Here is a 13,239-nt window from a genome sequence, read left to right as displayed (position 1 = left end):
CAGAGGGAGTCTGTGCACACAGAATTGTGTGTGGTGTGTGTTATAAATGTGCATTTACCTTGTATTTAACCCCCTCCCCACTCTGAGCATGTCAGACGTTATCTATTGTCTCACTCCTTGCATTTTTCATTTAAGTGCGTATGTTAGAGACGGTTTGGTGACTGCACTGTTTTCCTTTTCTGTGGCTCTGGGTCACGTTCTCAGCCATGCCACACATTTACGATTACCATCTGGTGTCTCTTCTTTTTCTCCCTGTGCCTCCCTTTCTCAGCTACATCCCAGCAATGGAGTTCCATTATCTCTGAGGCCATTAATGTGGCTGCCATATTTTCAGACCAACTAATCATTTGAACTTGCTGGTCAAACACACAGTAGCACATAAAGGCAGAGGACTGGACTGCCCTGGGCTTGCCATAGTTCCCAAATCATTGGTCCCGCACTTCCAGCTCTGGGTCAGCTGTGGGGAGAGATGAGCCCTAGGCAGTGTTGGAGGCCATTGGATAATCCTCTGTGAACTCCTTAGAGCTGAGAGAAAGGAGAGAGAGATGACCTGGGAGGGAGACACCTCTGTTGAGAGAGGACCACTGTCTCTCTAGAGAGCAAAACCAGGCCATAAAGGGGTCAGCAGCTCCACCATCAGTCTCAGTTGCCAGGGCCAGCCTTCTCCAGGCAGCCCGAGGAGCTGCACTCTTGGGATTGAGAATAGGATTGGAATTCCGCAATCAACATTCTTATCCTGTTCTCTATAGACTACCTGTGTGACCATGGGCTGGTGGCTTTCTGTCTCTGTGCCTTGCATGTTTTCTTTTTTCCTTTTCCTTTCTTTTTTAAAAAACAGAGTCTCACTCTGTCACGCAGGCTAGAGTGCAGTGGCATGATCATAGTTCACTGCCGTCTCAAACTCCTGGCCTCAAGCGATCTTCCCACCTCAGCCTTCCAAGTAGCTGGGACTATAGGCAATTGCCACTGTACCTGGCTAGTTTTTTTAAAAAAAATTTTGCTAATGATGGAGTCATAACATCTTGCCCTGGCTGCCCATGTTTTTGTTTTGTTTTGTTTTGTTTTGTTTTGTTTTTTGAGACAGAGGCTTGCTCTGTCGCCCAGGCTGGAGTGCAGCGGTGCGATCTTGGCTCACTGCAACCTCCGCCTCCCGGGTTCACGCCATTCTCCTGCCTCAGCCTCCTGAGTAGCTGGGACTACAGGCACCTGCCACCACGCCCGGCTAATGTTTTGTATTTTGTTTAGTAGAGACGGGGTTTCACAGGGTTAACAAGGATGGTCTCGATCTCCTGACCTCGTGATCTGCCTGCCTCGGCCTCCCAGAGTGCTGGGACTACAGGCGCCTGCCACCACGCCCGGCTAATTTTTTGTATTTTTAGTAGAGACAGGGTTTCACCGTATTAGCCAGGATGGTCTCAATCTCCTGACCTCATGATCTGCCAGCCTCAGCCTCCCCCATATTTTCATTTGTACAATCAGGACAGTGCATGTGATGGATTCTGGGGCTCTTCTCACCCCAAGCCACACATGGGCCACCCAGGGCCAAGGTCTCCCTTTCAGTGATCTAAGAGGCAGACTGGGGGAACCCCTTTTGCAGCTGCATGGGGTACAGCTTCCAGCCCTGAGACACATGCTGACATGCTTATTTCCTCCTTAGGGAGATCCTGGGATCAAAGGTGACAAAGGACCTCCTGGTGGAAAAGGCCAGCCTGGGGACCCTGGAATCCCAGGCCACAAAGGCCACACAGGCCTGATGGGTCCCCAAGGACTACCTGGGGAGAATGGACCAGTTGGACCCCCAGGGCCTCCAGGCCAGCCGGGATTTCCAGGACTGAGGGTAAGGATGCTAATATGGCTTTGGACTCGGGGCTCCTCGGGGCCTAAGGGGGAGCCAGGGAAGTGTGTGGACTTCAGAGGCACCAGTTTACAGATCCCAGTCTTCTAGTGACTGAAGGTATGACCTGGGGCAGGCTACTTTTCCTCTCTGAATCTGCCGTTCCTTGTCTGCAAAAAGGGAAAACAAAATCCTCTTCTGATTTATGATGATCAAGTGAAATAACGTGTCTAGCTTAAGAAATGCTCAAAAATAGTCCCTCTTCTGTTCAACCCTCTTCCTCGTGGTAATGAATCCTTAAGACTTAATTTCTTGGGCTGTAGAACTCTTCTGCCCAGGACCTTGTGCAAAAGGCAGTTGAGAAGACACCCAGCTCCCAGGGGTCTGAACTTCACTGTGGGATGGTTTACCATCCATTTCGATGCCTGGCTATGCCACTCTTGTATCTGCCGACCTAGAGTACTCCTTCGTCCCCCTGCGTCTCTCTTTCTCCAAAGCTGGGAACAAGGGCTTATTTAGAGTGATGATGGTTTTTTCTTTCTTTAAACATCCTTTATTCTAGTAGCAGCACTTTCATTTTACACAATCTCATGACACAGGCATACACGGGCTATAAAAAGATAAACGCAGAGATCCCCTGGTGGAAGTCCATGTGACCACTCCTTCCGGCTCAACAGCCCATATGGTCTTCTGGAGACCCTCATATTTCTCAGAGCCCAGGTCTGGATGACCTCCATGTCCCTGCCACTTCTGATGCTCTGCAGTCGCGTCAGTTCCTGGTGGCTGTGGTCAGCCTGGGTTTCAGGTGCCCTGAAAGACGCCAGGCAGCCAGAGCCTGTCTCTTGGCCAAGTCAGTGGAGAGGCTGGAGCACTCAGCTGACTTCCAAAGCCCTCTTGGAGCTTTGCCAAGTTCTGCCAGTCCTGCTGCTATGGGCGGTGATGAGAATACTGGGACTAACATAGAAGATTCTTGGTCAGAATAAAAGAATAAGGAAACAGAATCTATCTCATGCCAGGTATGGGGCTACAGAGATGAGCACCGTAAGACCCCTGCCCTTGAGGGGTAGACAGTGCCCTGGAGCAGTCAGGCAGGAAGGGACCAGCTCTGTACAGCCTGAGGACAGCTCCTCTAAGTTCTTCTAAGAATCACATACCACTCTTTGAGCTTGGAGACAACACTTGCTCCTCTGGTTGTCAAACTCATCAGCTTCTGTGGACCAAGCACCAGGACTTGGTGAGAAAGTTGTTTAGAGCCACAGTGGACCTAAGCAGGGAAAACCAGAGCATGGGAACCAGAGTGGCCAAGTAGCCAGGCAGGGGAAATCCACATGAGTTCACATAGAAGGCAGCCTGTAGGCTATGTCCAAAAGGTGGACACAACTTTGGCAGCAGAGATTAGGGGCCAGATCTCCCAGGTCCAGTGCGAAGAAGGGAATATGAGTGGAATTAATGGGCACAGTGGCTTCAGCAGGAAGGAAATCCAGTGAATACGCTGGAAGGGTATGGAAGGAAGGGCAGTAGTGGCTCAGAGAGCCCAGAGTCCGGGTTGCTGTGTAAAATGGGATGATGCTGCCTGCATAACAGAGAAGAGAGGAAGGGATTAGAGATGTGGAAAAGATTGGGCTAGGAACATGTGCTTCCCTGTGTGGGTATATACCACCTACGAACTTCCTGGTTTCCCAAGTCCTCAGGGTTCTTAGGTGGCAGAAGTTACTGGGAAGATGAATGACTCCACCTTCCCTCCCTCCTAGGGGGAGTCTCCATCCATGGAAACCCTGCGTCGGCTTATTCAAGAAGAGCTGGGGAAGCAGCTTGAAAGTGAGTATCTGGACTGTGTTACGGTCTTGCAGAGAAGAGCCCAGGAAGCAGTTCTCTCACTCAGCCTTGAATGCTTTTGCATCCTGGAATAAGAAAAGCACTTGACCGGCAGCTCAAGTGTAGACTATCAGGGTTGGGGAATGCCCTGAAGACTGTTCTGTCCTTTATCTGACACATACTTTCTCTAGGACTAGTCCTTCAGCTTTCACTTGGTTACCTCTAGTGAAGGAGAGCTCACTATCTACAAAAAGAGCTCTGCTATGATCAATCATTTATTCTGTGCATTGAGCCATTTATCTAGTCTGTAAAGAATTTTGTTTAGTTACTGCTATGAGCCTCATGAAACTCACAGTCCAGAGGAGGTAGATAAACAAATAGACAAGATGATTTTAGTAAAGTCAATAGAGGTTCTTAAATTTTATTTGTCACAGCAGGCATTAAAAGAGGACAGATGAACATACCTAAGATAGTTCAGAGGCCAGGGAGTGGATTAATGAAGGCTTCCTGGAGGAGGGGCCATGTGAGCTACAAGTTGAAAGATGAAATGTGACCCCAGGTCTATGGAGCAACATGTATGAAGGCCCTGAGCAGGGCAGGCAGGCCTAGTGCTTTCAAGGAACTAAAATCCTTTCAGTCATGTTGCATTGACTCATTGTTAAGTCCCCAGGTCTAGCATGTGCCTGTGCGTAGCAGATGCTTAGGGAGGGAGGAAGGTAGGAGGATAGTAGTAATCGTGCCAACATGTTGGCATTTGCCAAGATCAGGTGAAGTTCTCAGCACTTGCAAGTGTTAACCCAAAGCAGCCTCCAAACAATCTCATGAGGCTCATGTAATTATTGTAAGAATTGTTAGAAGCAGAATTATTAGGGGCTAAGTAACTTAAGGTTGATGAGCTGGGAAGATCTGGCCAGGATTTGCACCTGGGCAGCCTCACTGAAGGTTCTGTGTTCTTCATCACCAAGCTCTCTTGAACAACAGCCTTTCCCATTCCCTCTGCAATAGGAAGTTAGAGGAGAAGAAAGTCACACAAGTTCTTGTTGCAGCAAAGAAGAGAAATCCATAACTACTTTCCAGGAGCACAAGGACAAAAGGGGAGGGCACGTTTATTCACATGATCATGTCTCAGTTATCTTGCACCTCCCATTGCGAGAGTCTGTGCTGGGAGCAAGGACACAGCTATAAACAAGACGGCCCTCCTTCCTGTCCTCTTGGAGTGTCCAGGGGAACACAGTCCATTTCCATGCAGGAAAAAGAACACGATCTTTTTCCTGTATGGAAATGAGGGCAAAGGGCTGTTTTCTGAAGCACACGTTAAGGAGTGGGTTTTGGGTGGGAGAAGGAGGCGATGAGAGGAGGGAAATAAGGAACAAATTGGTGGGCACCATGGGTGGGTGGTGTTCTGAGGTCTCATGTGTGTAGATCTCTGAGTTCTACCTTCTGAATCCTGGATTCATCAGTGACAGAAATAACCTTTGCTTTTGGGGGATTTCTAGCCCAAGAGCAGAGACAAGAGCCGTTTCAAAATGGTTTGGATAGAGAATCTGCTGGGCTGAGTCCTTTCTTCCAAACAGGCCTTTGAGGAAGGAGCATCCACTCCACTTTAACGATGAGAAAATCAAGGCTCAGAAAAGTTGAGCAATTTGTCAAGGTCGCAGAAGCCAACCACCTGTCCTCCTGCCACCTTGTGAGAGGAGTAGTAGGAGGGAGACACTCTGGGAAGTGATCAACCAGGCAGTCAGAAGAGCCTGACTCTACCCTGGTTTCCCCTATCAAACGCCGGGGGCCTTGGGTAGCCTCCCAGCCTCTGGTTTTGGTCACACTGTCTGCAAAATAGCAGTTTGGGTCTGATTACCTATGACTGCATGGCTAACAAAGACTGCCCTTGGTGGCCACCAGATGTGCATATATCCCCTGTCCCATTGAAAGGCTGCCAGACCAGCACTGGACCTCTGGGTTTTTTAATCAGTTCTGTCATATTAACATTTTAGATGTATAGGATCTCCAGTGACCATCATGTCCAGCCCTTTAGCTTATAGATGAGGACTTTGACATCGGAGAGGAAAAGTGACCAACATAGCTTTGTGTAAGCCATTTACCTCCTCCACCCCAGCATCAGTTTCCCCAACTGACCATTGCAATTGCTACTGCTGCTACTGCTGTCCATGCTACTATGGCTTCCGTCGTTCTGCGCCTGGGGTAGCAGCCAGCATCTCCTGAGCACTTAGCAAGTGCCAGGCACTATTCCACATGCATCATCTCACTTACTCCATCCTCATTCCAGCCCAGTGGGGTAGGGTGCGGTTTCTTTGTCTCCATTGCGTAGAAAGGGACACCAAGGCTGAGAATGGTCAAGTAGCTTGCTCAAGGCCACCTGGCTGTCCGTGGCTGTCCTGGGATCCCAGCCTGGGCAGACTTGCTCCAGGGGCAGCGATGGTCACTACTGATTAAGTCACCCCATGGCCAGCCGCAATCAGAAGGTGCCCATACAAATGCTGCACATGTGTCATGTGACGTGTCATTGATGTTGTTTCTGCAGCTATTATCGGCCCCTTGGTTCTGAGTTGTCAGTGAGTAGCCATCCTGTCCTATGTCCGTTTCTGCAGCTATTATCGGCCCCCTGGTTCTGAGTTGTCAGTGAGTAGCCATCCTGTCCTATGTCCACTATCTGTTCTTCATGAAATGCCTCTCTTTTTCTACTTTACAGCCAGACTCGCCTACCTCCTGGCCCAGATGCCCCCGGCGTACATGAAGTCATCTCAAGGCAGACCTGGGCCCCCAGGGCCCCCTGGAAAAGATGGGCTTCCAGGCCGGGCCGGCCCCATGGGGGAGCCAGGTCGTCCTGGGCAGGGGGGTCTGGAAGGACCCTCTGGACCCATAGGTCCCAAAGGTGAGTGAAGACCTGGAGGAGATATGCTCCGTGTACTCCTGGAGGGCGGAGAAGGAACAGGGCTGGGAGGTGGCACTGCATGCATTATTCATGCCACTCTCATTCCCTGTAGCTTGGTAACACCCAGAGTTTTGGCATCATATAATTTTATCATATGCATAAGAGGCTTTCATACTTGACATTTTTACAAAATTATGCTTCTGCTAGGAAGATTGAATCAGTTCCTTCCTACTTTCTTGTTCTCTCTCCATCTCCGCTGCTCAAGTTTCAGGGAGGTAAACAACATGCCTCCTTTTTCCCCTACTGAGTTTAGCACTGAGGAATAAGACATTTAATCTCAATGGAGATTAAATGCCAGCCTTAAAATTGGAACAAAACAGCTGTTAACTGCCCAGGTCTCAAGGCAGTGACTTATCAGGACATCAGAGCTCCAGCCAACAGAAGGTCTCTCCTTCAAAGGGCGGAGGCCATATGATTTAACTCATCACACAGTGGCAAACAGGTCAGAAGAAGCCAAGTGTCAGCAGAACACTTACTCTCTCTGCAGGAAGACAGATGTGAGAGAGAGAGGAAGGATTAAAAAATAAATTTAAAAACTTTTTTTTTAACAAAAGGTTTTTTTTTAAAAAAAAAATTTACTTCAAGTTCTGGGATACATGTGCTGAACGTGCAGGTTTGATACATAGGTATATATGTGCCATGGTGGTTTGCTGCACCTATCAAACCGTCATCTAGGTTTAAAGCCCTGCATGCATTAGGTATTTGTCCTAATGCCCTCTGTCCCCTTGACCCCCACCCCCCGACAGGCCCTGGTGTGTGATGTTCCCCTCCCTGTGTCCATGTGTTCTCATTGTTCAGCTCCCACTTATGAGTGAGAACATGCCGTGTTTGGCTTCCTGTTCCTGTGTTAGTTTGCTGAGAATCATGGCTTCCATCTTCATCCGTGTTCCTGCAAAGGACATGAACTCATTCTTTTTTATGGCTGCATAGTATTCCATGGTGTATATGTGCCACATTTTCTTTATCCAGCCTATCATTGATGGGCATTTGGGTTGGTTCCAAGTCTTTGCTATTGTAAATAGTGCTGCAATAAACATACGTGTGCATGTCTCTTTATAGTAGAATGATTTATAAAAGGTTGTTTAAAAAATATTTTATCTATTTTTTTAAGCTTGCCTGCTTTCAAATAGCTTATATAATTAATAATAATTTTTGAATAAGGCAATTTCAAATAAAGATAAAAGACAGGAGACCAGCCCCATAATTCACTCCTGTCCGACCGATTAGGAATAAGCATGGGGCAGGGAAAGGAGCATGTGGTGTCATTTTAGCTGCTCTGGAGTGACTTGGAGTTAGGGAGATGAATGCTTCTAACATTGTCCTCTTTTGATCTCCCATTTTCTTACTAATTCTTAATTTGCTTATCCATTTCCTATAATGTTTCTCCTACTTGAAAGGCTTTTTGTTAAATTTGTATATTCTAGTCCTACTCATGTGATTTCATAAAACAAAATATATAAAATAAATGTCAATAAGAAAGCATAAAACAGAGAACATCAGATTGTGGCAGAATACTGACCAAACACGATTATTATAACAATAAAAATGAATGGTCTGAAGTCCCCGTGAACCAGCAGAATTTCAATTGGGGTTACAAGAGAAAATACACTGCATGCAGCAGATATTCAAGAAACAATATGGCAAAACAAGTGATTGATTTAAAAAACAAGGGTGAGAGACAGTTTAATCCAATCTCCACTATCTTCATTCAAATATGATCTCAAGTGTCCTCCCAGAGAAAATGGATCACTCTCTCCTCTGCATGTCTGTAGTGTTTTTTTGAAATTCCTATGATGGCATTTATCGCATTCTGTTTCATACTAGAATGTTCTTCTTGCCCTATTTGATTTCTCTTATTGAATTTCAAGCTTCTTGAGAGTAGAGCTGTGTGTTACTTATCACTGCACATGCCCACATGCGTGTTGAATTGGTTATATACCATCCAGTTTCTTCCTGACAAAGGTTCAGGTACAATGCTTTGAAAACACAGGAAGCATAGACATATAAGAGGAGATGCATGCGGACTTCTGTGTGTACGGCATATGAGAGAGTGTGTAGGTGTGTACATTTGTCTGAATGAGTCAGTATGTGAATATGAGTGTATGTATACAGTTGTTAATATGGTTTGAATATATATATGTCTGTATGGAATTGGGTAGATACGTGCTTGAGCAAATGTTCATATGTAGATATGTGTTTAGGAGGGAGTGTTTGTTTATTTTGGTGATTCCATGTGCATACTTCTGAATGTGAGTGTGTGCTGGAGTGTGTGTGTGAATGAGTGTGTGAGTGGGAATTGGGGTCCTGTGCGGCATGAGTGTGTGTGCTCAGGGTGGTTTAGACTGGAATGCCACAGCAGCCCAGTGCTGCCCCTGCACCTCCCGCAAGGTGGGACGCCCAGTTTCTGTCCTCCCCGGGGGTCTCCACCATCAAAAGTGCATGTTTTTCTTCCCAGGTGAGCGAGGAGCCAAAGGTGACCCAGGTGCACCTGGAGTTGGCCTCCGAGGCGAGATGGGACCCCCTGGAATCCCAGGTATGACTCATTCTGCAGTCTCAGGGGTAGGGTGTGAGCTACCCTGGAGACCCAGCACCCCTGCCCGTGGCCCCACAGGACTCAGCAGTGAGCGGAGAGGAGGGCTTAGGCTCTACAGATGAGGAGGAGACAGAGATCACTCACTTGGTTTCATTAAATATTTCTAAAATACGACCTTCTTGACTTACTAAGAAAACTGTAGTGTATTCTATGAATTGTTGAAGTGTATCCCGCGAGTTTAAAATTTCATGAAATGGTCCTGGGAAAAAAAAATTGACTTGGGCTAAATCAGGAACTGCTGGGGACTGTGTTTCTCTTTCAGACATTTCTGGTGCACATTCACTATTGTAAGTGCTAAGGACTCTCGCATTAAAAAATGTGTCTGTTTTGTTTAACCTAGCACTTTCGAAATTCACTTGAAAGAGAAGTCCTTTTTCTTTCACTATACAGTTGTTAATATCCTTTTAGTATTTCTCAGAATATGTTTTGGGGAATGCTCACCCAGTGGTAGGGTGGTTAGCTGTCCCAGGGCTGAGGATGTTTCTGGGAACAGAGGATTTCAGTTTTAAAGCCAAGACATGACTTGAGAAAACTGGGGCAAGTTGGTCATGCTACCCAGTAGCCATGTTGGAAGATCTCTGCAATGCAGCAATAATCACATTCCAGAATTAGATGTATAGGTAGAAGGTAGAAGAAATTTGACTTTTGAGGCTTCTATTTTTTATTTAACTTTAATTTCTGTGTTTGCCTGAGGTCAAATCTGAATATTGATCTTATAGAGAATTTCGATTTTAGTATTTATACCTTCATGATTTTCCAAATTTTCTAAAGTGGATATTTATTATTATTTTTGTTAGATAAGATAATTAGAAATACATTATTAATATTTATTTTTATGGCTCACCTATTTTCAAATAGCTTACAATATTAAGAATAACTTTTAAAAGAAGGCAATTTCAAATAAAGAGTAAATGGCAGAACAGAAACCATTTAAAAGGAGGAAGTAACTGTACCAATAATTATCCCATTTCAGTGGCTCTTAGCCCAAGGAATGAATAACACTGAGGCCTCAAAACTTGATCTAGGCAGGATTATAGATTAAATAGCTATTACCAAAGCATTAATAGAGTTAGTGAAATATCTACAGATCTTTTTAAGTAAAAAGTTTACTTTGTGTTTATTTTATATGATATTTTCTGATAAGACGATTACTAAGACATAAGAAGGGATGTCACTACTAGGGTTAACCACAAGGCTTAGCACTGACCTTCCGAGTTGCCAAAGGTAAGAAGAAAGATAGGTTGATTATATATGATGTCATGATGCTTACTAAGTGAAAGGATAGAAGTTTGTCTATAGGCAATATTTTCTGGGTCTCAATTTTGGACTATTTTAAGTGTCACTTACTTGCATCCTAGATGTTGTCTTTGGCCATGATTTTACAGAATAGCTTAATGTAATCCAAATATGTGGTTCAAATTTAATGTGTAGATAAAGCTGAGAAAATACAGATTTGGAACAAGTTGGATGTTACACAATGGAATGTCACCAGGTGTCTCTAAGGTCATGTGAATTGGGGCTGAGGGTTAATGATCAGGACTTGGTGTCCACTCTCCACTCAGACTCATTCCCTAGACCCATGTAAGAACCCAGAAGGCCAGGTCTCTCATCTGACTCTTCAGTGGAGAAATATGCCCTACCTGGTCTCAATCTACCCTTGTTTCTTTCTCTCCAGTGGTACCTGGATTACTATCCTAGGTCAAATAGTTAAAGCAACCCCTTCTTCTACATATTGAGGTGCTCCTGCTACCTGGTGTTTATGTGGACCACTCTAGTTGCTCAGAGCTCCCAGACCATGGGGATGCTCTGTCTGAGGACGTTTCAGGTCCTGAGTTCATAGTGAATGGAAGCTGTGAGTTCAGGGCCCATCCCCTCCCAGAAGGATCTTGAACCACCTTCTGTTTCTTTTGCTCCTTGGGCCAGGTCAACCCGGGGAACCTGGCTATGCTAAAGATGGACTTCCTGGGATCCCTGGCCCTCAAGGGGAGACAGGACCAGCTGGACATCCTGGCCTCCCAGGACCTCCCGGTCCCCCAGGCCAATGTGACCCTTCCCAGTGTGCCTACTTCGCCAGCCTTGCTGCCCGGCCGGGTAATGTGAAGGGTCCCTAAAGGACTCTGGAAAGCCAGAAGACTGCAGTGGATTTCTGAAACTTGAACTCAGAGCCCAGTGGGAAGCCAGAGGTCTTGAAAGACTTCAGCCATGTGTTCCTTTTTTTTTTCTTTCTTTTATCGTTTGCTTTTTGTTTTATTTTCTTGAGAGACCTCAAAATTATTAAATCCAACAGACGCTGCCGGTCGGTCAGATTATTATTAATATTATTGTTGTTGTTAATTATTATTATTATTTCATATGCTGATGCTTTGTGAGTTCTTTTCCACTCCTTTAAAGTTGGGAAAACTTGATTCGTGGGGCAGGAGATTGTTTCTTCATTCTTCTGACAGCCCCCATCTGACGCGTAACTGCCCATTTTAAGGAAACTCTTGGTGCTACAAAACCCTGACCAGACACTTGGCAAATTTACCTCTTTCTTCAAAAGAAAAACTTTAAGAAAATGAGCCAATGGGCTTCATTCTCAGTCATGCCCGGAGATCACCCAGGAGAAATAATACAAACACCACCACTGTCCAGAGAGAGTAAAGAAGCAGAAAGAGAAAGAATTTGCAACCATGAGGAATGTTCCCACCTCCCGACGGGACGTGCATTTGGAAAACACAGAATCAGCCCTCAGGGTGCACTCCAGCCACCTCAGTGCTCTAAGCTCACAGAAGTGAAATAATGTCTGTGGGTTGGCAATGGCTTTGTGGGATCATATGTCTTGGCCAAAGATGGGAAAACCTATGTTGAAGAGGCAGCCCTTGAGTGTTAATTTGTCTTCTAAACTGTGTAAGGCCCCTTCAAGTTCCTCTTGTTGGTTTCAATTATATTAATTATAAAACAAGTGGATGTGGTGACCATCCACTTGTGTTTCCCTAATGATGGGCAGTTGGCCAGGGCACTGACCAGAGCTGGGAAATTTGTATCTCCAAGGCGGCTCTGTCTCTGAAATAAATGGCATCAAGTGCATGTGTGTATGCGACATGCCCTGCCTGAACAGGTGCTCAATAAATCCAAGTTTCCTTCTCTTGAGTTCCTCTTGATGATTGATTTCTTGTATTCGACTTCCACCTGAATGTGAACTCCTCAAGCACTGGGATGTATCTTTTTCTTGTGAGAACCGTAGCACACAGTCCACATGTTCAGCCCACCTGGTGAATGAACGAGGGAGTGAATGTGTGTGCCAGACTGAGCTAGTCCAGGGCCGTTCATTAGCCTCCCTTCATATGGAAGCAGACATTTAGATGTGCACATTTATGCAGGATCACAGTGGGGAGGGAGTGAAGCAAGTTGGAAGGTTTTAGCAGAACCTTTCCTGTTAAACTGCATCTAGAGGCCAAATGAGTCACCAATACTCTTCCTGCATTTGTTCTTGACTGACAGATTGACTGGTGGACCGACTGATCGATCCATTGATTCATCCATTCATTAATTTGTCCATTCACCCAAGCTGTTAGCCACTTACAGACTAAAGCAGTAGATGTTTATCAAGAACTTCCTTTGTGTGATCCCCTGTTCTGGATGCCTCTAATTGATTTAGAAACTGGGAACATAAACATTTCAAGAAGTTTGATGTTTCCATGGGTAAAGAAGTATTATTGCAATGATTTAAAAATGAAATCTGATACCCATTCCTTGTGTTCAGTCAGCTGGTGCTGATTCTGGGGCTGGATGGGTGTCAGGGGTCCAAAAGAAGCCATTCCTGTTGGTGCAGAATGAGACAGCCTCCCTCTCAGTCTTTCTCACGTTTACCATCTCAGTTGGTTTTCACAACCATTGAAGATGCAGGGGTATTACTCTAATACCCTTTTTCATTTGAAGAAACTATCTCAGGGACCTCAGAAATACTCTCATCCAGTGACTTTTAACATTTTCTGACCATGACCCACAGTAAGAGGTGTAATTTCTTAGTGACTCAGTACATGCATACATATATAAAGCAAGGGTTTT

At 45.6% G+C, this 13,239-nt stretch overlaps 1 protein-coding gene across 10 annotated transcripts in view; it reads left to right on the top strand.

The window, feature by feature from the left end:
* The window catches only part of COL22A1 (collagen type XXII alpha 1 chain), a 325,807-nt gene extending 313,486 nt beyond the window's left edge, over positions 1 to 12,321 (top strand). For all 10 annotated transcript variants that reach the window (XM_017013150.3, XM_011516886.4, XM_011516884.3 and 7 more), the window contains 5 exons: positions 1,658 to 1,837; positions 3,586 to 3,652; positions 6,357 to 6,539; positions 9,055 to 9,132; positions 11,116 to 12,321. In XM_017013150.3, the coding sequence (XP_016868639.1) occupies positions 1,658 to 1,837; positions 3,586 to 3,652; positions 6,357 to 6,539; positions 9,055 to 9,132; positions 11,116 to 11,303 (696 nt within the window). In that variant the 3' untranslated portion in view covers positions 11,304 to 12,321. The remainder of the gene's footprint in view (positions 1 to 1,657; positions 1,838 to 3,585; positions 3,653 to 6,356; positions 6,540 to 9,054; positions 9,133 to 11,115) is intronic.

This window comes from Homo sapiens, chromosome 8 (assembly GCF_000001405.40).
Source record: "Homo sapiens chromosome 8, GRCh38.p14 Primary Assembly".
NCBI lineage: Eukaryota > Metazoa > Chordata > Mammalia > Primates > Hominidae > Homo > Homo sapiens.
Note: the sequence above shows the minus strand (reverse complement) of the source record. Positions and strands in the feature narration are given on the sequence as shown.